The sequence below is a fragment of the Homo sapiens genome, chromosome 13 (genome assembly GCF_000001405.40).
Source record: "Homo sapiens chromosome 13, GRCh38.p14 Primary Assembly".
NCBI classification, from domain to species: domain Eukaryota; kingdom Metazoa; phylum Chordata; class Mammalia; order Primates; family Hominidae; genus Homo; species Homo sapiens.
Genome location: NC_000013.11, coordinates 27,818,045 through 27,844,270, shown reverse-complemented (window position 1 = coordinate 27,844,270; position 26,226 = coordinate 27,818,045). Strand labels below are relative to the sequence as shown.

The 26,226-nt window shown below is 44.5% G+C and overlaps 2 long non-coding RNA genes and 1 pseudogene across 2 annotated transcripts in view, besides 2 other annotated features; 1 reads left to right on the top strand and 2 right to left on the bottom strand.

Moving 5' to 3' along the window:
* PLUT (PDX1 associated lncRNA, upregulator of transcription) overlaps positions 1-25,179 on the top strand; it is a 98,200-nt gene extending 73,021 nt beyond the window's left edge. Inside the window, exons 3-5 of the long non-coding RNA NR_047484.2 lie at positions 10,121-10,250; positions 21,440-21,516; positions 23,804-25,179. This is a non-coding gene — a long non-coding RNA (PDX1 associated lncRNA, upregulator of transcription). The remainder of the gene's footprint in view (positions 1-10,120; positions 10,251-21,439; positions 21,517-23,803) is intronic.
* LOC124903139 (uncharacterized) lies at positions 8,542-14,061 on the bottom strand. The gene is made up of 2 exons (XR_007063734.1): positions 13,869-14,061; positions 8,542-10,989 (listed from the first exon to the last, which is right to left on the bottom strand). It is a non-coding gene; the product is annotated as an uncharacterized LOC124903139 (long non-coding RNA).
* RNU6-73P (RNA, U6 small nuclear 73, pseudogene) lies at positions 15,402-15,508 on the bottom strand (annotated as a pseudogene).
* Positions 16,908-17,407: an enhancer, noted in NCBI's record as "H3K4me1 hESC enhancer chr13:28401001-28401500 (GRCh37/hg19 assembly coordinates)". NCBI's record gives its function as "activates a minimal SCP1, AML or CMV promoter by ChIP-STARR-seq in naive H9 embryonic stem cells {active_cell/tissue: H9 hESC(naive)}" and the evidence as "EXISTENCE:reporter gene assay evidence [ECO:0000049][PMID:30033119]".
* Positions 20,872-22,447: an enhancer, noted in NCBI's record as "VISTA enhancer hs532". NCBI's record gives its function as "enhancer in: hindbrain (rhombencephalon)[3/7] | midbrain (mesencephalon)[7/7] | forebrain[6/7]" and the evidence as "EXISTENCE:transgenic organism evidence [ECO:0001131][PMID:17130149]".
* Positions 25,180-26,226: the final 1,047 nt, after the last annotated feature.

The window sequence follows — 26,226 nt, the reverse complement described above, 5'->3', positions numbered from 1 at the left end:
CCAATTTTGTGCTACTATGAGCATTTTTATCATGAGTGAGTGTTGAATTTTCTCATATGCTTTTTCTGCAGTTATTGAAATAACCACATTGTTTTTCTATTTTATTAACATCCTGAATTACAGTGGTTAATTTTCTAATATTGAACCAACTTTGAATTCCTGGAATAAACTTTACTTTGTCTTGGTACATTCGATGTAATTCTAGTTGTAATTATAGCTACAGTTGTAGATAGATCAAGAGTTGGATTTGATTTGCTATGCCCACTAGCAGTCACTTCCCATTCCCCTCTTCTCCAAGTCCCTGGCAACCATGAATCCACTTTCTATCTCTGATTGACCTATTCTGGGCATTTTAATAAATGGAATCATAGATATGTGGCCTTTTCTGTCTGACCTTTTTTATTTATCATGCCTTACAACATGATATAAAAGGTTTGCCCATGTTGTAGCATATCAGTACTTCATTCCTCTTTATGGCCAAATAATATTCCATCATGAGGATATGCCACATTTTATCTTTCTATTCATCAGTTAATGGATATTTGGGTTGTTTCCACTTTTCAGCTACTATGAAAAATGCTGCTATGAACACTTTGTACAAATTTTGTGAGGAGGCCAGGTATAGTGGCTCATGCCTGTAATTCCAGCACTTTGGGAGGCTGAGATGGGAGGATTGCTTAAGCCTGGCGGTCTGAGACCAGACTGGGCAACATAGTGAAACCCCATCTCTACAAAAAATTTAAAAATGGCTGAGAGCAGTGGCTCATGCCTGTAATCCCATCACTTTGGGAGGCCAAGGTGGGTGGATCACCTGAGGTCAGGAGTTAGAGACCAGCCCGGCCAACATGGTGAAATCCCATCTCTACTAAAAATACAAAAATTAGCTGGGCCTGGGGGCACATGCCTGTAGTCCCAGCTACTCAGGAGGCTAAGGCAGGAGAATTGCTTGAACCCAGGAGGTGGAGGTTGCAATGAGCTGAGATCGTGCCACTGCACTCCAACCTGGGCAACAGACTGAGATTTCATCTCAAAAATAAATAAATAAATAAAATTAGCCGGGTGTGTTGCCACTTGCCTATGGTCACAGCTACTTGGGAGGCTGAGGCAGGAGGCTTGCTGGAGCCCAGGAGATCGAGGATGCAGTGAGCCATGACTGTGCCACTGCACCCCAGGCTGGGTGAGAAAGTGAGACCCTGCCTCAAAGAAAAAAAGAAAAGAAAAAACAAACACAGTTGGTTTTCATGAGGATATGTATTTTCAATTCTCTTGGAAGTAGAATTGAAGTAGCTCTACTTCCTTGGAAGTAGAGCTGCTGGGTCATATGGTAATTCTGTGTTTAATTTTTTGAAGACATTTCAAACTGTTGTCCAGGGCAGCAGCACCATCTTATAATCCTACCAGCAATGTGTGAGGGTTCCAATCGCTCTACATCCTTGCTAACTCTGTTAGGATGTGACTTTCTGATTGCAGCTTTCTTAGTGGGTGTGACGTGGTATCTCATTGCAGTTGGTTTGCATTTCCCTAATGACTCATGATGTTGAACATCTCTTCAGGAGCTTATTGCTCATTTGTATATCTTTCTCAAACTTTTGTCCATTTTAAAACTAAAATGTCTTTTTATTGTTGCCTTGTAAGAGTTCTTTATATATTATGGATACAAGTCTCTTATCAGATGTATGATTTGCAAATCTTTTCTCCCATTCTGTGGGTTGTCTTTTCACTTTGTTGATGGTATCCTTTGAAGCACAAAAGTTTAAAACTTTGATGAATTCCAATATATCTATTTTTTCTTTTGTCACTTTTGTGTCATATCTAAGAAGCCATTGCCTAAGGACCCAAGGATTTACTCCTATATTTTCTTTTAGGCATTTTATGGATTTACCTTGAAGACACTGCTCCATTTTGGCTTATGTTTTGTATATGGTGTGAGGCAGTGGCTCAGCTTCTTTCTCTTGCATGTGGATATCCAGTTGTCCCAGCACAGCTAATTGAAAAGACATTTTTCTCATTAAATTGTCTTGGCACTCTTGTCAAACTTCATTCTCTTTGCTAATTTTCTCAGTTCTGTGTTCTTTTTCTGCTCTTATCTTTATTATTCCCTTTCTTCTAGTTACTTTGGGCTCACTTTGCTCTTCTTTTTCTAGTTTCTTATTGTGGACTCTTAAGTCTCTGTTTTTGTACACCCTCCCACCACCTGACCCAGTATAAGCACTTAAAGGTATAACTTTCTCTCTAACCACTGTTTGCTTACATTCCACAAATTTTTACCTTTTTCATTATCATTTAGTTCCAAGTATTTTCTAATTGCCGTCATGATTTCTTCTTTGACCTATTGATTCTCTAGAAGTGAATTGTTTCATTTCCAAATATTTGGTGTCTACTTATCTTATTGTTTTTAATTTCTATGTAATTCTGTTTTAATCAGAGAATAGGCTCTATAAAATATAAATCCTCTTCAATTTATTGAACCTTGTTTTATGGTCCAGCATATGGTCTATTTTGGTCAACAAACCACATGTGCTTGAAGAGAATGTGTATTCTGCAGTTGTAACTGGTAGATATAGATTCTATAAATAGCAATTATATAAAAGTGGTTAATAGTGTTGTTCAGTCCATCTATCTTTTTCTTGATTTTTTTCTAGCAGCCCTATCCTAAGATATTCATATTCATATTCATCTATGATTGTGGATTATTTCTGTCAATTTTTTCCTCAGGGATATTTAAGCTCTGTTACAAGACACACACCCTCATAGGATTCTTTGTCTTCTTAGTATATTAATGCCTTTATCCTTATAAAAGATCCTTCTTTGGTAATTTTTTTTCTCAAAGTCCATTTTGTCTGATAACTAGATAGTGTGGGGTGGGGGAAAGGGAGAGGGTCAACAGAGCACCCTTCATCCCCACTGAGCGTAGAACCAACTGAGAGGTAAACCTAGCTGTGGGCAGATGGAGATTAAATGTCAGCGTTCGTGCTGATGAAGCCAATCAGAGGCTGTGGCCCTAGATTTGTGTCCAGATGGGCCTGTTAATACTTCCCTCAAAATTAGGTGGCCTTGCACATCCGGTCACTGGCCCAGATGGACAATAGTCAGCCTTTTCCTTTCACCCTCATCCAGGGCAGACAGCAGAAGGCAGAGGGCAGGTAGGTGGATGGACTTCTGAGGCAGAGTGAGGGGCCCAGAGGAGCCTGCCCAATTCTTCCTCTAAAGACCACCAGTAAGTGAAATGAAGAGGCCAGGGGCTGAGGGAATATTCTAGAGAGGGTTTCCACATAGAAACAAGGAGAATGTGCCCCTTCTAAAAGGTCTCTACAGCTATGAGAGCATGTGAGCTTACCCAAGAAGAGTGAAGGGTGAGGAAGGAGAGGACCTGGACCGAGCACTGGGGGCCACCAGCATTCAGAGGCTGGGCTGCGGAGGAAGGTCCCCTGAAGGATATGGAGAAGGGGTCCCCAGGGATGTCATGGAAGCAAAGGAAGGCATTTCAAGGCGGCATTGCCAGCTGCCAAGAGGCTGAGAAAGTTGAGATCCCCTCATGAAAGCCCAGGCTTGTCCACTGGGGTAGAATTTTGGCAAAGAATCTTTCAAGCCACACACTGAGCACACTTCTGACTTCCCCAATTATGGTAGAAAGGAGAATTATTTACCCTGACCTGGGAGGAAGATTTATAGGTTTATAGGCCCTTAAAGTCACAGTACTCAGACTCTGTTTTCCTAATGGTGAATGGCAAAGAAAACAGCGTTCAAAAATAAACGCCGGTAAACGTGGAAGGCTAGACTCCTTCCTGTGGCTTATTTTAACTTTCATATAAGAAAACATAATCGTTGATTACCTTGGCAATATACCATGCCTTATCAAAGGGCTTTAAAGCACTCTCATTAATCCTTTCAATATACTTGGATAAGAGGTGAAAACAAATATGTGTATTTTGGCCTCATCCTAGAGAAAAAGGAGAGAGTTGGAGAGAAGTCGAGGGCTTTTCTCCCAAAATCCTGGGGGATGACGTGGCATCAGCCGTGGCCTATAGTGCACAGGCCAGAAACTGCCCCCTGCAGCTAAAGCACTGGAACAGAAACGAAGAAGATTCATGACTCAGCTGAAGAGAAGTGAAAAGGTGAGCAATTATATAATGAACAGAATATGCGTCATAGAGTCCTCAAATAACAAACTCACATTTCAAACTCTTTCAGGGCAGAAATAATATTTTACCATTCTTTTCATTGTTGACAGTCCCTAGTACAGGCTAAGACCTCAGCAAATATTTCCTTCCTGGCTGATGACACAGGTTGTCTCTCTGTGTGTATGGGAAGAGTATAGAGGGATGTGAATCTTATTCAGTATATAGAATAAGTAGTTTTCTAAGATTTTGTCCATGGAAGTGATGCAATCAGCTCAAATTTGACCAAAATGGTCTAGGCCCGCTGTGGGTTTTCGGAAGGAAACCTAGTAGAAATGAGTGAGATGAGCTTAAAGTATAAAGGAGCTGAGAGCAAACAAAATAAAAGGCTGGAGTCTGTTTACTGCAAAATTGTCTGTTTTTGCATGAAAGTGTATTTTGGGGCACCCATTTGTGCACTCACCCAACAAATATTTATTGAGCACCTATTATTATATGTCATCGTGCTGGGTGCTTGGCAGTTACAAAGATAAATGAGATGGATTTTCTACCTTGAATATGTCATGGTCAAATGAGGATACCCTGTAGATGTTCTTGACCAAATCATACTTTTTTATTTTATTTTATTTTATTTTATTTTATTTTATTTTATTTTATTTTATTTTATTTTTGAGGAGTCTCACTCTGTCACCCAGGCGGGAGTGCAGTGGCGCAATCTCGGCTCACTGCAAGCTCCGCCTCCCGGGTTCATGCCATTCTCCTGCCTCAGCCTCCCAAGTAGCTGGGACTACAGGCGCCCTCCACCACACCCGGCTCATTTTTTTGTATTTTTAGTAGAGACGGGGTTTCACCGTGTTATCCAGGATGGTCTCGATCTCCTGACCTTGTGATCCGCCTGCCTCGGCCTCTCAAAGTGCTGGGATTACAGGCGTGAGCCACTGCACCCAGCCTTTCTTGACCAAATCATACTTTGGATGTTGGATGGAAGCAAATCAAAATGCTATAGCAACCTAGCAAGGTTTTTTGTAGACATAGACAAACTTATGCTAAAATGAATATGGAAAGGCTCAGGATCTAGAATAGCTGAAATAATCTTGTAAGAGAAGGAGAAAGGTAGGCTGAGCACAGTAGCTCACACTGTAATCCCAGCACCTTGGGAGGCCAAGATGGGAGGATTGCTTGAGGCCAGGAGTTCAAGACCAGCCTGGGTAATATAGGGAGACCTCATCTCTACCAAAAAAAAATTTTTTAATTAGCTAGGTGCGGTGGCAGGCTTGTGTAGTCGCAGCTACCTGGGAGGTTGGGGTTGGAGGATTGCTTGAGTCCAGGAGTTCAAGACTGCAGTGAGCTATGATTGCACAATTGTACTCCAGCCTGGGTGACAGAGCAACATGCCTCATTTTAGAGCTGCAATAGTCGAGACAGCGTGTTATTGCTGAGGGATAGACCCCTAGATTCATGGAAGAGAACAAAGAACCAATAAATAGATGCACACAATATAACCAATTTTTGAAAAGGTGCAGAAGCAATTCAATGAAGGAGAGACAGCTGTCTTGGTCTGTTTTATGTTGCTATGACAGAATGCTACAGACTGGGTAATTTATAATCAACGGAGATTTATTTGGCTCACGGTTATGGAGGCTGGGAAGTCCGGGATTGAGGGGCCACATTTGGTGTGGTCCTTCTTGCTGCATCATCACGTAGGCAGAAGGCATCACATGGCAAGGGAGAGACAGTGACAGGGGGCCCAACTCGCTTTTATGACAAACCTATTCTGGCGATAATGACATTAATCCATTCATGAAGGCAGAGCCCTGATGTCTAAAGAGCTCCTATTAGACCCCACCTCCCAGCACTGTTGCATTGGGGATTACGTTTCCAACAGACAAACTTCAGGGGACACATTCCAACCATAGCAATAGGCTTTTCAGCAATGATGCTAAAGCAATTAGACATCCACAGGCAAAAAGAAAACAGGAAAAAAGAAGAACCTTGACCCAAGTCTCATATCTTATACAAAAATTAGCTAAAAATGGAGCACAGTGTGCATTGGAAAAGGTAAATCTAGAAAACTTGTAAAAGAAAAACATTAGAGAAAGTTTTTGAGACCTAGGTCTAGGCAAAGAGTTATTATACTCAATTCCAAAAGTGTGATCCATAAAGGAAAAATTGGTAAATTGGATCTCATAAAAATTAAAACCTTTTGCTTTATGAAAGACCCTATTAAGAGGATGCAAAGACAAGCTACAGATTGGGAAAAATATTTGTAAACCAAATATCTGACAAAGGACTCTCATCTGGAATACATCATGAACTCTGCAAACCCCACAGTTAAAAAAAATCCATTTAGACCATAGGCAAAAGAAAGGAATAGGCGTTTCACTGAAGAAGATATAGAGATGGTAAATAAGTACATGAAAAGATGTTCAGTACCATTGGCCATTGGGGAAATGTAAAGTCACAACGACATACCGTTACATATCTGTCAGAATAGATAACATAAATGTCTGTCTATCCCCACCAAATGGTGATGAGGAGAAAGTGGGCCTCTTACCATTGCTGGTGGGAATGTAAAATGATCCTACCACTCTGGAAAATGGTTTGGCAGTTTCTTAAACAAATTAAACATGCCTCTACCACACAATGCAGCAACTCTACTCCTGGGCATTTATCCCAGAGAAATGAAAAACATATGTTCACACAAAAATCTGTACCTGAGGTTTTATTTGTTATAACTGGAAACAACTCAGGTGTCCTTCAATAGGTGAGTGGGTAAACAAACTGTGGTACATCCATGCCATGGAATGGTGCTCAGTAATAAAGAGGAACAAACTGCTGATACATGCAACAACTTGGATGAAGCTTAAGGAAATTATGCTAAATTTAAAAAATAAAAAATTATGCTAAATGATAAAAGCTAATCTCAAAAGGTTGCATACTGCATAGTTCCACTTATATAACATTCTTTTTTGGTATATTAATTAATATTTAATGTGTCATAAACTGAAACAGAGCTATTTAAAACTATTTAATTCATTTGAAAACAGCAACATAGCCAATGCAAACTAATACAAATAGCATATTTTTATGAAAACAACTGTATTTTCTAAAACAAAGAAAAATTAGTGAGAAAAGTGGAATTGTTTTGCATTTTTCAGATCTCTAATATCTGGCTTAATGGAAGACAGCTGATTCTCATATCTGCTTCTGCATTCTATCTCTTACTATATGTTAGTTTAGTTGAAGTATCTGAAGACAATTCAGCCCCACTTAGATGTGTAGTTAAAAAAGAGAAGAGTATTTTAATGGTCTTTTCAAATATGTATAGATATTCCTTTTTAATACTACACCAAAACTTGACAGGTGACGAGAGTTTTTAGAGATTAGTTGCAATATGAAATCTAAAAGTCTATTAGTGAACCTTTCTTACTCTGTTATACTAAAATCCATTATCTATCTTGAAGTTTTCAGGGAGCTTTTATTCACACTTTTGTTTGAAAGACCATTCAGAGACTGCACAAAGAAATGATTAGAGGCAGGGAAGAGGCTTCCCCAGAAGAAGTAAGGTGAAGTACGATAGCAGGAATAGGCCGGGTACGGTGGCTCACGCCTGTAATCCCAGCACTTTGGCAGGCTGAGGCGGGCGGATCACGTGGTCAGGAGATCGAGACCATCCTGGCTAACAAGATGAAACCCCATCTCTACTAAAAATACAAAAAATTAGCCGGGTGTGGTGGCACGTGCCTGTAGTCCCAGCTACTTGGGAGGCTGAGGCAGGAGAATCGCTTGAACCTGGCAGGGGGAGGTTGCAGTAAGCCGAGATCGTGACACTGTACTCCAGCCTGGGTGACAGAGTGAGACTCCATCTCCAAAAAAAAAAAAAAAAAAAAAAAAAAATCAAGAATATATGGTAGAATAGTAGAATACACGGCCTTGCCTCATTGCTGCCTATATGGCATTCTTGAAATGATAAAGTAACAGAGAACACATTAGTGGTCACAAGACTTAGGGACAAGATGCGGGAGAAAGGTGAGAGGTGGGTGTGGCTATAAAAGGGCATCAGGGAGATCTTTATGGTGATTGAACTGTCCTGTATGTGAAATGCATCAACGCTGATATCCTAGTTGTGATATTACACTACAGTTTTGCAAAATGTTACCAATGGGGGAAACTGGGTGAAGGGTACAGTGGGTCTTTCTGTATTATTCCTCACAACTGCCTGTGAGTCTGTAATTAACTCAGCATAAAGCATGTAATTTAAAAAATTTAGTAGATTAAATAGGTTGTATCTATTTACATAAAATATGAAATATACACAGCAAAAACAGATGCAGCCGAGAGGAAAGAATGAGAAACTCAGTCTGGAGTCAGGGAGGGACCCTCAAGGGAAGCAACGTTTGAACTGCACTTTGCAGAGCTCTTAGAAGGTACTATTTGCAGATAAGCTCTTTTATTATCATTTTCTCAGAAGGTAGGTGGTTAATAACTCATGTTCCATTTGTTGGGCTAAGATACAGAATTATAATGATAGCAAACACATCGAGCCTTTCCCATGGTTCAGACACTGTTCCAAGTGCTTTGCATATATTCATTCATTCATTCCTCAAAGTAACACTGTGATTATCTATCTATCTATCTATCTATCTATCTATCTATCTATCTATTCGTCCATCTATCATCCATCCATCCATCCGTCTATCTATCCATCTATCCATCCACTTATCCATCCACCTATTCATCTATCTGTCTATCTATCTGTAATTGGTTTTACAGTTAACTTTTTTATAGGTAGAAGGAGTACACTCTAAAATAATAATAAAAAGTATAGTATAGCAAATTCATAAGCCAGTAACATAGCTGTTTGTTATAATGATCAGGTATTATGCACTGTACATAATAGTATGTGCTACACTTTTACATGACTGGCAGCATAGTAGGCTTCTTTATACCAGCATCACCACACACACATGCTAGGGATGCATTGCGCTATGACACTATGAAGTTACTAGGTGATAGAAATCTTCAGTTCCATTATAATCTTATGAGACCACTACCATATTTGCAGTCCCTTGTTGACCTCAATGTTGTTATGCTGAGTATGACTCAGTCAGCGCTCTGTAGCCATATCCAGGAGTTCCTCCACCATGGATTCAACCAACCTCAGATTGAAAATATTTTAAAAGAAATTGTGTCTGTACTGAACATGTACAGACTTTTTTCTTGTCATTATTCCCTAAACGATACAGTATAATAGCTATTTTCATAGCATTTACATTGTATTAGGTATTATAAGTAATCTAGAGATGATTTGAAGTACATGGGAGGGCCGGGCATAGTAGCTCATGCCTGTAATCCCAGCACTTTGGGAGGCCGAGGGGGGTGGATCATGAGGTCAGGAGATGGAGACCAGTCTGGCCAACATGGTGAAACCCTGTCTCTACTAAAAATACAAAAATTAGCAGGGTATGGTGGCATGCGCCTGAAGTCCCAGCTACTCAGGAGGCTGAGGCAGGAGAATCGCTTGAACCCAGGAGGCGGAGCTTGCAGTGAGCAGAGATCACACCACTGCACTCCAGCCTGGGCGACAAAAGCAAAACTCCATCTCAAACAAACAAACAAACAAACAAACAAAAAAACAAGTACATGGGAGGATGTTTGTAGGTTATATGCAAATTCTATGCCATTTCACAGCAGGGACTTGAGCATCCATGGATTTTGGAATCCGAAGGAGGTCCCGGAACCAATCCCTTTAGATACTGAGGGACGACTGTACATGCATGTGTATATATGAGACAACTCACTGGGGCACAAAGAGATAAGCAGCTTGCCCAAGGTCACACAGCTGTAAGTGAAGCTGCAATTTGATCTGCTTGTTTGGCTCCAGAAATCCAGGCTTTAAGTACCGTGCCGTACTGCTCATTTTCTCTTGTCCCAGATTGTAGCCTTCACTTCGCACTTTCAAGGCACAGAAGAACTTTTTCTCTTTTCTTTCTTCTTTTTAGTGTGAGCACCTACTATGAGTAAAACCTGGGCTGGTGGCTGGAGAAACATGAAGATGAGTAAGAGCCAATTCCTGTTCTTGGGGATTTAATAATATATTCAAGGGAAAAGACACAAAATAACCATTTCCAGGTAAACTCTGGTGGGGAGGGTGGGAGGAGAACCGTGGTTTGCTTTTGTGCCCAACACTTCACATTCCTTACCTCTTTCTCCCCACCGAGACCTTGAGGAGCAGCCTGAGCCAGAGGACCAGCATCCTCATCTTCTCTCCACCTCTTACTAGGGGGGTGGCTTTGGGCCAGTTTCTTACATTCTTTGGGCCACTTTAGTTTCCTTATTGAAAAATGGGGATAATAATAGTGGCTACATCTCAGTGTGATTCTGAGGAAACCAGAATTGTACATGCAGAGCACATGCACAGAACAGTGCCTGGCACAGTCAGTAATTGATCAATGTGCGCTATTGTTGTTGTGTATATTAGTTCTCCCCTGATACAGATGAGAGCTATCTCTAACTCAGAGACTTGCCACATCATTAAATTAGGAGTGAGAACTGAGCCTGGATAAGGAAGAGGAACAGGAATTCAACACAGTGAACACAGCAGGAAAGGCTTGTGCGAAGGCTCTGGGCTGGAGATGTGTAAAGCATGTCTGGAGATGGGGAAGGTCCATTGGGCCAGGAAACCACAGGCTCTGCTCTCCTGGAGCAGGTGAGGAGTGCAGCAGGCCTCAGGGTGAAAGGAAGAGGGAGAGGAGTGGCCGCGCTGTGGAAGACTTTTCGGGCGGGTGTTCATCCTGCATGTACAGGGAACCAGGAGATATTCTGAGCAGAGTGCCATCAGCCCATTCCTGTCTGGGGAGGATGATGCAACCTGTGAGAGGAGGGAGGGAGAGAGACGGAAGGTGAGGGTGGGGACCGAGCAGAAGAAATGTGGGTAACTCATACATTTGGTTGGTAGGAATGGGTTTCCAATGCCTCAGATGGGAATATGAACCTGAAATGTGTCCTGGTGACTCATGGCATCTTCCTAGATTAAAAACAAACTTTCAGAGACCACGGCTTCTGCTACAGTGTTCACCCCCTCACTGCTTAGGCCTGTGAAATGGTGATGACCCTGGATATAAGGACAAAACAGAGGAGACGAGTTCGAAGGCACTGGGAAGCCAGAGGCTGTGCTTTGAGCATTTTCCAAAGGAGAAGGGATCAGAGGGGGCTTTATCTATCACAAAAGACTTGATGCTTAGGAAGGGAACTTAAGAACCTTCAATGAGACACTATGCCTCTTTCTTTTAGAATTTTGTTTTTAATTGTGGTAACACATGCATATCACAAAGTTTACCAACTTAACCATTTGATGGACAGTTCAGTGGCATTAGGTACATTGTTGTGCAACCATCACCACCATCATCTCCAGAACTCTTTTCATCTTGCAAAACTGAAACTCCGCACCCATTAAACAGCAGCCTCATCCCCGCCACCTCCTCCAGCCCCTGGAAACCATCATTCTCCTTTTGTCTTAATGAATTTGACTGCTCTAGGTATCTCATGAGTGGAATAATACCATATTTGTCCCTTTGTGACTGGCTTATTTCACTTAGCATGATGTCTTTAAAGTCCATCCATGTTGTAGCAGGTGGTACGCATTCCTTTAATTTTAAGGCTGAATAATATGTCATTGTATGTGTATACCACATTTTGTTTATCCATTCATTCACTGATGGACATTTGGGTTATGTCCACCTTTGACTATTGTGAATAATGCTGCTATGAACACATACAAACATCTCTGCAAGTCCTTGCTTCCAATTCTTTTGCGTATATACCCTGAAGTGAAATTTCGGGATCGTATTGTAATTCTGTTTAATTTTTTAAGAAACTGTCATTCTGTTTTCCATAGCAGCTACACCATTTTACATTCCCACCAATAGTGTGCTCCAATTTCTCCACATCCTTGCCAATATAGACTTTTCTCTTTGGGCTAGCATTAAGCTATATGACCAGAACATAACAAGTAGCTGAAGAACCCATCCACCATTTACGTTTATCATTATTTTTTCCTCTGGATGAATTAAGTTAGAAAGAAAGGAGATATTGCTTTAGCTACTAGAGTTTAGCACTTAAACACTTCTTCATGAAATCCAGTTACTCTCAATCAGAGTAAAATAAAACCATGAGGGTTATTTTGAGCCAATCTTCAGGGTTTGAGGTAATGATAGTAATATTCTAAGAGTTCACATTTATATAGGACGTGTTTGTGCTTGGCACTGACCAATCACTTTCTATATATGACCTCATTGAATCCTCCCAACACCCTTAGGAGACAAGCACTATGATCACCTCCACCTGAAGATGAGAGAATTGGGGCCTAGTAAGGTTGTGGCTTGTGTAAAGATGCAGAAAGTTTGCAAGGCAGTGTCCAAGCCCAGCCTACACCATCACACTGCATTCCTACAAAAAGCCACACCCATCAATAGGTGGACATTACCTGTGCAAAAGATGTACGGACAAGAATATTTAATGCAAATGTGTTATAAAAGTTTAACATTGGGCCGGGTGTGGTGGCTCACTCCTGTAATCCCAGCACTTTGGGAGGCCGAGGCGGGCAGATCACCTGAGGTCAGGAGTTCTAGACCAGCCTGGCCAACATGGTGAAACCGCGTCTCTGTTTAAAATACAAAAATTAGCCGGGTGTGATGGAAGGTATCTGTAATGCCGGCTATTCAGGAGGCTGAGGCGGGAGAATTGCTTGAACCTGGGAGGCAGAGCTTGCAGTGAACTGAGATCATGCCACTGCACTCCAGCCTGGGTGACAGAGCCAGACTCCATCTCAAAAAAAAAAAAAAAAAAAAGTTGAACATTGGAAAAAGCTTATATGCCCATCAATAAGGGTTTGATTAAACTAATGAAGGTGCACCCATTGAAGGGAATAGTTATGCATCTGTTAGAAATTATGATGTAGATATATATTAGTTGACATGGAAAAGTGTTCAAGCTATATTGATGATCAAAAAAAAAAAGTAGTTGCAAAGCAATAAGGATGGTGTAATCCAGTGTTAGTAAACTGATATAAATTTGTATTGATACAAGTTTTGATATATAAGTTTAAAAGGCTGGAAAATTATAGAGCAAAAATATTAACAATGATCGCCTTGATGTGGGAGGATTTCTGGCAATTAAAATAATGGCATCTTCTCAATTTTCCTTACAATGTTTATATAATAGAGAATAGAATGAAAGCTTAACAACACACACCACCAACCTTTCACTAAAAGTTTCCCTTGTGCCCCAGACTGGAAATCAGCCCCACTGCATTCAAAGGTGCTGTGACTTTGGACAAGTTCCTTCTCCTCTTTGGGCCTCCTTTTTAATCTAATAATAAAAAGGCGGTTTAATTTCAAAAGTTTCTTCCAGCTCTAACGCTCCTTGATTGAATGACTCCCAATCCCGGCGGAGGTTCTTTAAAAAACGGCCTACTGGGATTTACATGTGGGTAAATGGTCTCTTCAGCCCGTTTTCTTTGATCTAAGTTAGTGCATTGCACCAGTGTTGTGTCAAATCATCCTGGGAAAAAGTAGCTTTTCCCAGAAAGACAAATTTTAACCAAAGTAGCTTTTCCCAGAAAGACAAAATTTAACCTAAGACATTAAAAAAACCAACCAAACAAACAAAAAGCACTACACACTGAACGGACTCCACAAGCCAAGCAGAAAAACAAAAAACAACGAACCACATCCCCCTTCCCACCCTTACCCCAGACTCTTAGCTTCTTTCTGAATATCGCATGTCACCTGTACACCTGAATAGTCATAGTAGCTGGCATTTATTTTTACGGATGTCCATAGAGTCACTTATAGCATTTTCTCCCACAGAAGCACAGCGAAATCACAGCCGAGCAGAGGAGGGCAAGGGAGAGGGCCGCCCCAGTCTGAGAGCTGCAGGGTCTGGCTGGAACTGCTCCCGGCCAGCGGACTTCACCCGGGCGCGGGGGCCGCACCTGCCGGGCGCGGCCTGCTCTATGGCGCCCTCTGCTGTTAGTCCGCCCCAGGCTCCGCGCCGGCCTCTCCTGGGTCCGTGGGGCCTGCGGGCTGCGGGGATCACCGAGACCCACATTCCCGTGGCCAGCAGCCTTTCGCTCTGCTCAGAGGAGAGGCAGAAGGGCATATTGCTGTTTCCCAGTCGCTTTTTACACCTGCCTTCTTCGGATAAACCCAAAAATCTTCCTTCAGAGAAGACGGCCCGTATTTCCCGTTATTTGGGGGTGGAGGTGGGGCTAAGGGCGTCATAGGGAGAGCCTTACTTTCAACATTCTGCATTATGAAACCAAGGGAGACTTTTTTTCCCAACAAGTGTGAACATTTTTTTTCAAGAGAATTAAATCGTTTATTGATTACACATGATAATGGATGACACACAAGCTTCATTCCCATCTCTAATTTTATCTGGTACCGTTATTCAATTTAGATATATTGCATAGGATGTGCCAACAATCACTTTTATCACCAATAATTCCACGATTTTGCTTGAGTAATCCCTTTTAATGGTGAACTTCAGGTCACAACAGTAACTATCAGTTCAACTACACCAAGGTTTCTGAAGACAATGGCTTCTCCGCCCAAGCAGGTTGCATATAAATTCCAAATAGAACCTGGCATCACCCTGAAGGAATTCTAACTTCACACTGTTGGGAAAATTTACCGAGATGGCTTCAGAGTAGACTAACTTTACACAGCACATTTTTTAAAAAAGACATTTATTCAGCGTCACGATCAGACTATTACATTTAGCAATCAACAGCATGGGTGAAAAAAAAATCTACATTAAAACCCTTTGTTGGAATGCTTTACACTTTCCACAGAACAGAAACTAAAATAACCTCTTATACAATTAGTCACAAATACAGTCCTCAAGTTTTTTGCCCATACACGAGTATTTGTCTAAAACATGACTTGTTTGTAGCAGCTAGGCCTTGCCACCACTGTGCTTGGCTGAGTTCACAAACCTCTTGTAACCTGTAGCTTCCTTGTCACTTCTCTGGCTCTCCCTTCCTGCTAAGCTTTGTTTACTAATTAAAATCTTCTGCCAAAGCCATAGCTGCTGCTGCTACTGGATCCACCATAGCCACCTTGGTTTCGTGGTTTGGCAAAGTATTGGCCTCCACCACCACAGGGGCCAGAGCTTCTGCCTCCAAAATTTCCTCCCTTCATGGGTCCAAAATTTGAAGACTGATTATTGTAATTGCCAAAATCATTGTAGCTTCCACTACCTCCAAAATTGCTTCCACTAAAAAATATGGAACGCTTCACGAATTTGCATGTCATCCTTGCACAGGGGCCATGCTAATCTTCTCTGTATTGTTTCAGTTTTAGTATATGTGCTGCCAAAGCTAGCACAAGTGTGAACATTGACTATGCTTCTCACATATCTTTACAGCCCCACTCTAAGGGGACTCTGTCTTGGAGAACCAACTGTTCTAGAATTTTCTAACCTGCCTCCTGCAGCCCCTCTCCCCATTTCTTCTCCTAGGGAGTCTTCCAGATGGTGCAGTTCACCTAGGAACTGCATGTCTGCTTGCTGAGGGTGTGGCAGGAGTCAAGTCACTAAACCTTTATGAGTGAATACTGTCAACCTTATACAGCCCATTCATTTCTTCACCAATTCCATCCATGTCAACTCAACAACTACTCCAGCTGACCCTGGAGCTTGGTACTGGGGATACATCTCATACAAAAGGATGCTTTCCTTCCTGTCCCAAAATGTATCAGCCCCCGAGGGATCATACACAATAGATACACAAATGGTTGCATGTAAATGCAAAGAACATGTTGCAATGAGAAAGAATAATATAGGTTGTGAGCTCACAGGAGGAACATTAAAGCTGAGCCTGCAGGATAAATAAGAATAAACCAGTGAAAAACGCTGAACCATGACTCTGAGATGGGAAGGTGGCATAAATTCCAGGAGAGGCATGTGGCTGGATCATCAGGAATGGGGAGAGCAGAAACCCCAAAGAAGGTTGGAGAATTAGGCAGAGGGCGGATTAGGTGAACCCTGGAGGGCCAAGCTAATAATTTTGAGTCAAATTACAGAGTGCAGTGGAGAGCCCCTGAATTTATTTTTAGTAATTGACATGATCTGAGGTGGGGTTTGCAAGGATCCTTCTGGCTGGTGTGACAGGAGGGAGGCAGGGTGAGGGTAGGAGCCTTGGAGCTGAAGATAGATGGGAAATTGGTTCCTGGTGGTAGCAGTCCAAGTGGCAGGAAGTCGCCAGCCGCAGAGCATGCTTTGAAGGCAGAGTGGAGGACAGGCTGGCATGTTGCCTGTGGGGCTAAGGAGGAGAGAAGTGTTATGGATAGCTTCTCCATCTCCATCCCTGACAGGCAGAACTCAGGGAAGAGCAGTTTCAGGGAGTAGCATTAACTTGCATATAAAATTATGGAGGTGAAATTAGCCTGCCAGGGCCTGCCTGAATCGGAAGCTCTGTCATAAGTGGACTGTTGATCCGTGGACACAGAAACGTTGCTGTCTAGGGAGACGCATCTGATGCCAACTGGTGTATTCATAGCACTTGATGAGGGTGTTTATTGAGTAGTACTGTTTTGATGTTTGGGATATTTAAAAAAAGAAAATTGAGAAGTGTGTTTTCATGTGACGACTTTGCATTTTAATTTTATTTTTAAATGTAAAGATTAAGGAAAACATGCATCTAACTCTGGTAGAAGAACTAAAGTGAAAATGGAACCTAGGAATGGGATAGTGGGTGGAGGAGGGAGGAGGCTTGTCCAAGCCAAGTCAGGAATTGGGCCAGATTCATTACAGTAGCCTTTGGAAATCGTAATCAAGTGACAGTCTCTCACGCTTTGGCATCAATACAGCACTACTAGGGCCATGAAGTAAGAGTAAACACCGGATGCATATGAGTCATGGCAGCTTGCACTAATCTTTGAGCAGTAATTGAGATGATCTCAATAAAGTGAGAAGACCGTAATGTAATATAACCGAGATGCCTATAATAATCGCCATGCCACCATGACAGCATCCAGTCAGCTGAGGTCGGCGACAAACAGAATCAGCCGGAGCTAAGGGGGGCAGGGGCTCAGGCCCACCTGCAGCCCACCCATCAGCACCCCTGTGTGGCAGAAGCTCTGGGGAGAGCCTTTGTCCTTTGCTAGCTCCTGGGATTTTAGGTAGGTGGGGGAGCAGGAAGGGAAGAAAGAGCAGGGACTGCTGAGTTCCAAATAAGTTCCAGGTCCCCATGGGAGCAGAGCTGCTCTTGGATGCCTGTGCGAGGTTCTCCCGGCTTTGGGGGAGCCTCCGGAGCTCCTTGGGGAGGGTCCTCCCGACTTGGGAAGGCTTCCTAGCTATGGCGGCCACGCACAGGCAGGGGGCGCTGCGACTTCACAGTTTCAAAGCCGGACTCCTATTCAGCGAACGCCTTGGTGAGTTTCCTGAGTTCTCCGAGGAGACGCTGGGAGCCTGCACACCCAGGGTGTAACTGCCAACGCCTGCAGAGAGGGAACCTCCTCGTGCCGTCCGTGGAGCCCAGAGCTGGGCTTTCCTCGGCCCACTCACCCCTGCCTGGCACTCTGTCCTAAAGCTTCCCCTCAAGGAGACAAAGACATTGACACTTTATTTTATCCTGAGCTCCTGGCTCATTGATCTCATGCTGCAAACCAAGCAAGTGGACGCGCTCCCCCTAACGGCTCTGCTCTTTAGTCATCCTTTCCTAACAAAGTGAATGGCTGGGGCTGGCTCCATCAAAACCTGCAGTAGGAAGTACCTGATTTGAGCAACTATTCATGGTAGAAGGGTGTGCAGAATGCCTTGAGCTAAGAAGGGGAACTTTCAAACAGCAGGCGTTTAACAGTTTTCCCGTCTGGAGCCAGCTGCCACCCAACCCCAATCCCACAAAGCAGCTGAAGCTCAGAGGCACGTTTCTTTTGCAGCATGGAATCGGGGCGGGTGAAGGTGGGACCTGGGTATGTGTGCATAGCAGGGGCATTTCTAAGGAACTCACGACACTGGGGATTGGTTTTTCCTTCCTGCTAAGACTGGGCTGGCACTGAGGGCCACTTCCATCGTGACCCTGCTGCTGGTGCCCTCCTTCACTCTTCCTGTGAGTCTCATTCTCTAGGCAAAGGGGACTGTACTTAGAGAGGAGTGAGTTACCCAGGAGCTCACCAATCTCTCTTCCTTCCTCCTCCTTTCTCTCCTGGGCAGGGTGTGGTGGGCATTGGGGTTAAGAACTATTCCTACAGAAGCTCCAGGTTAGCCTTTCCCATGGTGGCATCAACCTGGAGTCCCCGCCAGCCCAGGCATAGGATGTCCATTGATCCCAGTGCCAGCGGGCCCTTGCCTCCCTGGAAACTCACTGGCCTCCTAAGACAGCCCAGACAATCTGTGCCATGGAAGGCCACAGGTGCTGTATTCCATGAGGCTGGCAACAATAATCCCAAATGGTACCAGGTGACCTTTGCCTCATGGCCTAGGGAGGCTTTTACTGCTGCACTTGAGACCAGGCTTGGGGAGTGAGTGAGGAGAGGTGGCCTGAGGCTGGGATGCCCTTACCTCTCCATCTAATTGAGAACGCTGAATGGCTTTCTCTTTTTTTCTCCCTTCTCCTTCAATAGAGTCCAACAATTTAGCAAGCTCACCAAGCTGTGTCCTGCTTCATGACTAATTCACATATTTAAATGGGATCGGTCAAAGCAGAACTATTTGATGCCAGCCAAGCGCATTTATCAGGTCAAACTGCTCACAAAGGCTAGAGGCCAGCGTGGGTATGTGGGTGTGTATGGAGTGAATGTGTGGGATCTTTATTTATTTTTAGTCTCAGATTTCAAAAGCAAGGGACCACATCAGAAGCTGCCATTGCTCCCGGGTCCCTCCCAGAGCCTGGCTTGCTCCTGGCCCTGCCTCCCTGTCCTGAACCTCTCCCCCTCCCCCAGCCCTGAGCTGTGTGTCTCTGATGGGGCTTCAGAGAATGAATCTACTCAATTACAGCCCTTTTCACGTGACTGAGCAGTTTCAAAGATGCCACTTTTTATTATTTGGTGACCCCTGACATTGCAGGTGCAGATTTAATGGTGGAAAAGTTGAAATTAGCCAAAATGAACTTTTCCCTCCAATCCCAGCATGGAGAGACGTTCCAGGCTGTTCTAGCTGGAACTGCCATTACTTTGCTGAGTATGTAAGTTATCAAAGTGTTAGGTTTAGCTTAGGGCCAACTGCAGCCCCCATACCCACACCCACCCCAGCTGGATGGGTTCCAGGGCCAGGGGAGGAAAGAGTTAAACAGGCGTAGTGGCTATAATCCCCTTTAACAAAGGAAACTCAGTCTCCTATTTCCCTTTTGGGGTGTCCTCTGCATCAATCCTACAGTGAATGTGTGGCATTGGTCCCCAAGGGTAGCGTCAGGTTCAAGTAAAATGAGCAAACCAAAGTTCATGGCTTCCAGGCTGATAAATGTTGCCGCTACAAGGTCATGATTGATCAGCACACACTGTCGAGATGGATTTCGTGACTGGATGGCTCTCCACAATCAACACCCCTAGCCAGTGACCCATGCGTGTCCACATTTGGGTTTTGTCAGTCGAGCCGCCTCTGCTCTCCCAGCTCAGCCTTTTCAAGCCAACCCATGGCTGGCTTCTCTGGTTCTATTCTGCATCTTTCACTGGAGTCCAGGGAAATAAAGGGCATCTTTTTGTATACATCAAAATGAAGAGTAAACAGTTTTGCATCACCGGGCCTGGGTACCTTTGATGCTGGATTACATTTATGAGCTAAGACATGGCATACTTCAAAGGAAGCCATTCATTCAAGCGACAAGCCAGAGGCTGTGCAAAGACATAGGTCCCTTTCATAAATTACTTGCTTTTTATTTACCAGAAACTCCGGGTATCAGTTCAGTTGCACCTCAGTTGCCTATGCACAAAAAAAAAGCACTGTGGTAACTCAGGAAAAAAAAATGCAGGGTGGAGGAGTGTGATAGAAAGGACCATTAATAGGAAGCAGGCTCTGGGATATCTGTCTTGTAGCTGTGGCGGCTGCCAGAAGCTGAAATCAAACAAAGAATAAAAATCCAGAAGCCTTCCTTTCCCCTCACTTTTTTTGGGGGAAGAGTTGGACGGGGTTGGGGGATAAAAAGAAAAGGAGAGAATCCCTAAGGGTAAACCAGTTGAATGAATATAAATGTCTGAGATTCCCAGGGCTTGGGGGTGGGCACTGGTATGGGGGTGTCCCGTACAGCAGCCCTATGAGACTGGGGGAAGAGGTGGTAAAAATATCCAGATTCCATAGATGAAGCACAATGTAGAAATGTGGGTGTGTCTCCCTTCACTTCTCAAAATCCCTGTGAGTACTTTACTTTTTAAAATTAGGGGCCAGAAAGAGAAAGACTCAGGACTTAATGAACCTCATCAGAGGGGAGTCTCTGCTGTCCTGGAAAAAGCCAGACCCACTGGAGGTCTTGTTTGTTTGCCTGTGTTATGTGGGCTCTCTCTGAGCCACCGAGCTAATGGGAACTGAGGGCAGGAGCAGGGCAGCAGCAAGCACTTTTGGGTTTTGGAGACTAATCACCCCTCCCCATCTCCCCAGGCCCCAGTTGCCCCAGAATCTCCAATGGGCCTTGAGGCAGAGAGTCGGACAAAGCCACTTCTATACGTGCCCCTTTTAAAGCCTTGATCCAGAGGGGACTGGGGGGAGGAGGGGATTTTTTCCAAAACAAAACAAAAAAAGTCGGTGGCTTTCTGCTTTGGAGAGGCCAAACAGGTCCTTTAAAAAGAAAAAAAAAAAAAAACTATATCTCTGAAAAAGTGCAAAGAAATTCTGTTTCCCCGCCAGGGCCAAGGGCTGAGTTTGTGAGTTGCTTGTTTTTCTCTGTCTATTTTCAAGTATTTGGGAGGAGAAGTGTGTGCAGGGCGAAGGCGGCCACGCGAGCCCGGAGCAGCTTTCATTGAGAAGCCACGTGTCCGTCTCCAAAGGACCCTCCAACTTAACCAGCGTCATTGTCCATTTAACCCACATCGGCAGCGTCCTCCCCCATAAAAGGATTTGCAATTTCAAGATATTCTAGCGTAAATGTTTCTGACAGTTCCCCCGCTCTCTGGGCATGAGCGGGGTTATTTATTTCAGCTGTGCCAAATGGGTCACCTTGGAGAGATGTCTGTGCGCAAAGAGCTTCTGCGCGCATTCAGCCTGAATTTTTTCCAACTTTCCTTGACGGGGAAACCAGCTGCTGGTTTGTGAAAAGACGGCTTATTAATTGTTCTTTGTCATGCAGAATTGCTTGATTTCTAAAGAAACTTACAAAGGGTCTTTTTCAGGATTCAAGTATTTTGTTTCGTGCGCATTTCCAACCCATCAAATCAGCTGCAGGCACCGCACCGTCTAACAGACCCAGGTACTAACTGCAGCTTGCTGCCTTTGTGTCCCTTTAATGCTCTTGTAAATCGAGCAGACTGATTTGTTACAAGCTGCTCTTTTAATCTGATAGATAAGAGACAAGTCTAAGAAAAGTCTTAAACGAAAAATTAGTTGGAATAAAGACAAGGGTGAGTCTGGTAGATGGGGGCTTGTTGACACAAGCCGCCCTCTCTGTTCGGATGGGGCACGCACCAGACTGCCAAGGTCACTTCAAGAATTAGCTTTTCTTTTCTTAAAAAGGACACTGTAGCCTTTTTTGCTTCCATGAATGATCGCCACAAAATTAAGAATAAATAAATTGAGCATTTTGAGCTCCGGGCTTGGAGGTAGCCCAGGGCGTAAACGCTGCGCTATTGAAAGGGGAAAGAAAGCTTTGCAAAGACGCACCGGGGAAAATGGAGCACTATGGCGCAATTAACAAAATGGTCTAATCTGAAATCTTAACAAATGCAAATATAGGAGTTTTGTAAAAATGTTTAACTGCACAATTAAAGCAGAGTTTACAAGTGCGACTTCTCAGCCTGATTACATAATAACTCAAATAATTTGTTAAATATAGTGAGCTGTATAGAAACTCTGAATGTGCTTCGGTGCCAATAAACTGCCTGGAGTGTGAATAACCTTTAAATCCTGCTTTAATACTTTAAATCAATTTGGGGAGCAGAACTCTTTTCAGGGCGCCAGCTTTAATGGGGTATTTAGGCGCATTTATCCAAAACAAACTTTATGTTTTGGTCCTGGGAGAAACACTCACTTGCCTTTGAGCAAATAATTGCAAGATGCTGATACCAGAAATACTCCACCAGACCGTTTCGCGCTCTGGTTTGACGGCATTTCCAGTGCCAGGCGAAACCGAACAAGAACTTTGGGCTTTTTCTCCTCAGAGTTGCTGGGTGTTTTAACAGCTTAGAGGTTTGCACAACAAAGCCTGGCGTGTGAGGAAAGCCCTCCTCTGGGAAGGGTACAGGCAACTCTTTGCTGCAAGTCTGGCTCTGCATCCTCTGGGAAAGCAGCTTTTTCTGGCCAGTAACAATGGGGTTTTTCCTGAGCCCCTGATGCGCTCTAGAAAAAGGGGGCCTCCCTGCGCAAACACCACATCTCTTTGAGGTGCGCATTCAGCTTTTATGCTCCCCGGGCAACGGGTGATTGCTTTTTTCCACCCCAAATTCTCAGTTTGGAAAGCCTGAGTCCTGGCCCAGAATGAAACATTTGAAGGGGTCCCTGCGCAAGGATAAAGTAGTTGGAATGTCTTTTTTTTTAATTTTTCTTTTTCTTTTAGTGCGGCCACCCCTCTCGCCTATCTTGCGTAAAGTTCCTGGAAGCAGGGGCGCTGGCGCTAGAGAATCGCAGCGGCTGCTTTTGCAAAGCCACTCGTCCCGTTCACTTCTAGCCGTTTCCAGCCTCAGGCTGGGTTTCCCCCCATCCAAGCCTCCCTGTTGGCCCAGTTTTCCAGCCTGGGCTGGGGCGCAGTGGGGCGCGATGGGGGCAGTTACCAGGCAGAGGATACAGACGGCGCCCCCAGCACCCAGCGCCCCATGGCGCAGAGGAGATCATGGGGACAATCTCTGGGGGTGTTAAAGGAGCCACCTGGCTTTGCGCATTTGACTGAAAACAAAAGGCCCATGGGGTGACTGGGTTTTTGTTCTGAGGTTTGTTTTCTCTCAGCCAGTTCTCTCGTGGGAGAGGGAGGCGCACTTAGCTAGTCTTTTCGGTTCAGACTTCTTTCCTTAAAGGTACACTACTCCCAAACGCACCTGCCCACGACCTTCTCCCGGGAGACTGTTTTATTCCCACGTGAACCCCCCTGAGGCTTTCCTGCAAAACCAGAAAAGTGGGTGGCTGAAGGTGCGCTCCTGGGAGGAGGGGGTGACAAGCCTGCTGTGAGCGTGTGCTTTTGGAAGCGAAAGTCTCCTGCGACCCTCCAGTAAAGCGGGGACCAAGAGTAACTGGCTCTGATGGGCCCAGGTTCCCCAGGCCAGCTGCGCGCAAAGGCGACGCAATTACTTGGCTAGAAGCGCATTCCAGGTGGAGACCAGGGTGCCCCCTCCACAGTACATGCGCAATGCGCTTGTGCGCCCGAATGCGCGGGCAGGAATGGGCTGCCTTTCCGGCCCTCTCTGCCTGGGGCCGTGGGTGGGAGGGGAGAGGGGCCGAAGCAGAGTTTGGAAACGGACAGTTCCTTCTCTCCACGGGTTCCAACACAACTTTTTTTGTTTGTTTGTTTTGTTTTGTTTTGTTTTTTGCTTTTTTTTTTGCCTCTCCAGGTGTTCCTGCTGGAAGAAACTGTCTTTAAGTTTCCCAGAATTGAAGGGGCTTTTCTCGCTTGCTCACGCCCACTCTTTTGAAACCCTAATGGCTGAAGAGCATCATCAAGAGAAGGGGAAGATGAAGCTGACTCCCTGCACCTGCTTCCTCCCCATTCTGTTGGCTCGGGTCGGTGTGGGCTTTTAGCCTCTCTGAATGTGGAGGTTCCCAGGGATACGGGGAACCACAAAGGTCCATATTCTCAAATGCAGCACTTCTTAACCAAGGCATGGCTTTTTCTAGGTGGTCGGAGGCCAAATACTCTGCTGCTGGCCATCCCAACCAGTAGGCACAGGGAAATGCCAGAAAAGAAGCAGCTGGGGCTTCTCTTGCTGAGGAAGAGGGTGAAATGAACCTTGCTTGCCGCAGCCAGTTTCTGACCCTGCTGCAGAGATGACGGATGAGATTCCAGCTGTGATGGAGATGTGGTCCTGGGAGGCCATTCTAGGCACTGCTCTTCAAAGAGGTTGTCTCCATCCTGGGATAGAAGTTCATAAGGGGAAATGTACAAACACAGTTTTCCTGCCACCTCCAAGCTGCTTGGGGCCGGACTGGATGCCCTGCCGGCCCCTCACTCTTCTTACCTTTGAACATCGACCCTGGCCAGGCATTTGTTTAGGCAGGTTTTCTAATTTAACTTTTACAACAACCTGTGAAATGGCTACGATTAACCCGCTTTCATGGCTGAGCACCTGGCTGGGAGATGTAAGGTACTTGCCCAAGGAAACCAATCAATTATCAACCTGAATTTGCCTGACTTCCCACTCATGCTTTGGTTGCAGTTCCAGAGTCTGCTACAGGATCTCCCATACAGAGTGGCCTGAAGGCACTGGTTTCCCTTGGGAAACAGCGAACTCATGTCCCTGGACTTCTCCCCTGTGGCCTCCCTCCCTGCTTCCCTGGGACTGTTAGTACCTTCTCCTATGTTTCATGTTGACCATACAGCTTTGCCTTTTTCCAGTCTAGGTTTATGCCAGACATTGTGTCTGTTATTTTCCCTTTTTAAAGTGATATCTGGGCTGAGTGCAATGGCTCATGCCTGTAATCCCAGTACTTTGGGAGGCCAAGGCAGGCGGATCACCTGAGGTCAGGAGTTCGAGACCAGCCTGACCAACATGGAGAAATCCCATGTCTACTAAAAAGACAAAATTAGCTGGGCATGGTGGCAGATGCCTGTAATCCCAGCTATTCAGGAGGCTGAGGCAGAAGAATCGCTTGAACCTGCGAGGCAGAAATTGTGGTGAGCAGAGATCACGCCATTGCACTCCAGCCTGGGCAACAAGAGTGAAACTCTGTCTCAAAAATAAATAAATAAATAAAATAAGTGATATCTGTGATATCTGGCCATATCGCATCAATTTTCACTTGAGGACCCACCCCTGCCCAATCTCGGTCTCCTGGATCCCAGAGGGGTTGGTGACCTGGGGTCAGGCTCAATGAGGTACTGCTCCTCTCTGCCACTTTGTTCAGCTTGGGGGTAACATGTAACAAAGCAGAACCGATAAAGTACATTTTTACTGGGGCTAGTTTTTCCTCATGTTAGAGTTGTTAAGCTAATAAGAAGTAATCCCAGAAAGCCTGGTGGTCTTCCTTTACTACCAGTTGTAGGAACCTAATTACAAGCTCCATGAGGACCACGCATTTTTTTTTTTGTCTTGTTCAATGTACCCCCAGGGTACTCTGTTTACTGGTTACTGCATCCCCAGAGCCTGACAGTGAAACAACTCAGAGAAAAACAAGCTAAGAGATATCAGTGTCTGACATCATCATTGGAGCAGCTGGATACAGCTATGCCTGAAGTCGTTAAATTCGTTTTTATGCTTAAGTCTGTATTGGTCTTCTGCCACTTGTAACCCAAAGAGTCATGACCAACACAAGCAAGTGTTGACTCAAGTTTCTTGAGAACTTTCCTGCAAGAGCAATCACAGATAAACAGTGACCTTGGGGGCCACAGTGGTCTCCCCAGGGCCTTAACATGCCACCTTTCTTTTCTAAGATTTCTTAAGCTCTGTGGCTTACAAACCCCTTGATAGCAGTAATGTGATTTTCTCTGTGTTATTTAAGTGTTCCATAGCTGCTGGGCATGGTGGGTCACACCTGAAATCCCAGAGTTTTGAGAGGCCAAGGCAGGTGGATTACTCGAGGTCGGGAGTTCAAAACCAGCCTGGCCAACATGGTGAAACCCTGTCTCTATTAAAAATACAAAAAAAAAAAAAAAAAAAAAAAGCCAGGCATAGTGGCAGGTGCCTGTAATCCCAGTGACTCAGGAGGCTGAGGCAAGAGAATTGTTTGAGCCTGGGAGGTGGAGGTTGCAGTGAGCTGAGATTGCACCATTGCACTCCAGCCTGGACAACAGAGTGAGACTCTGTCTCAAAAATAAATA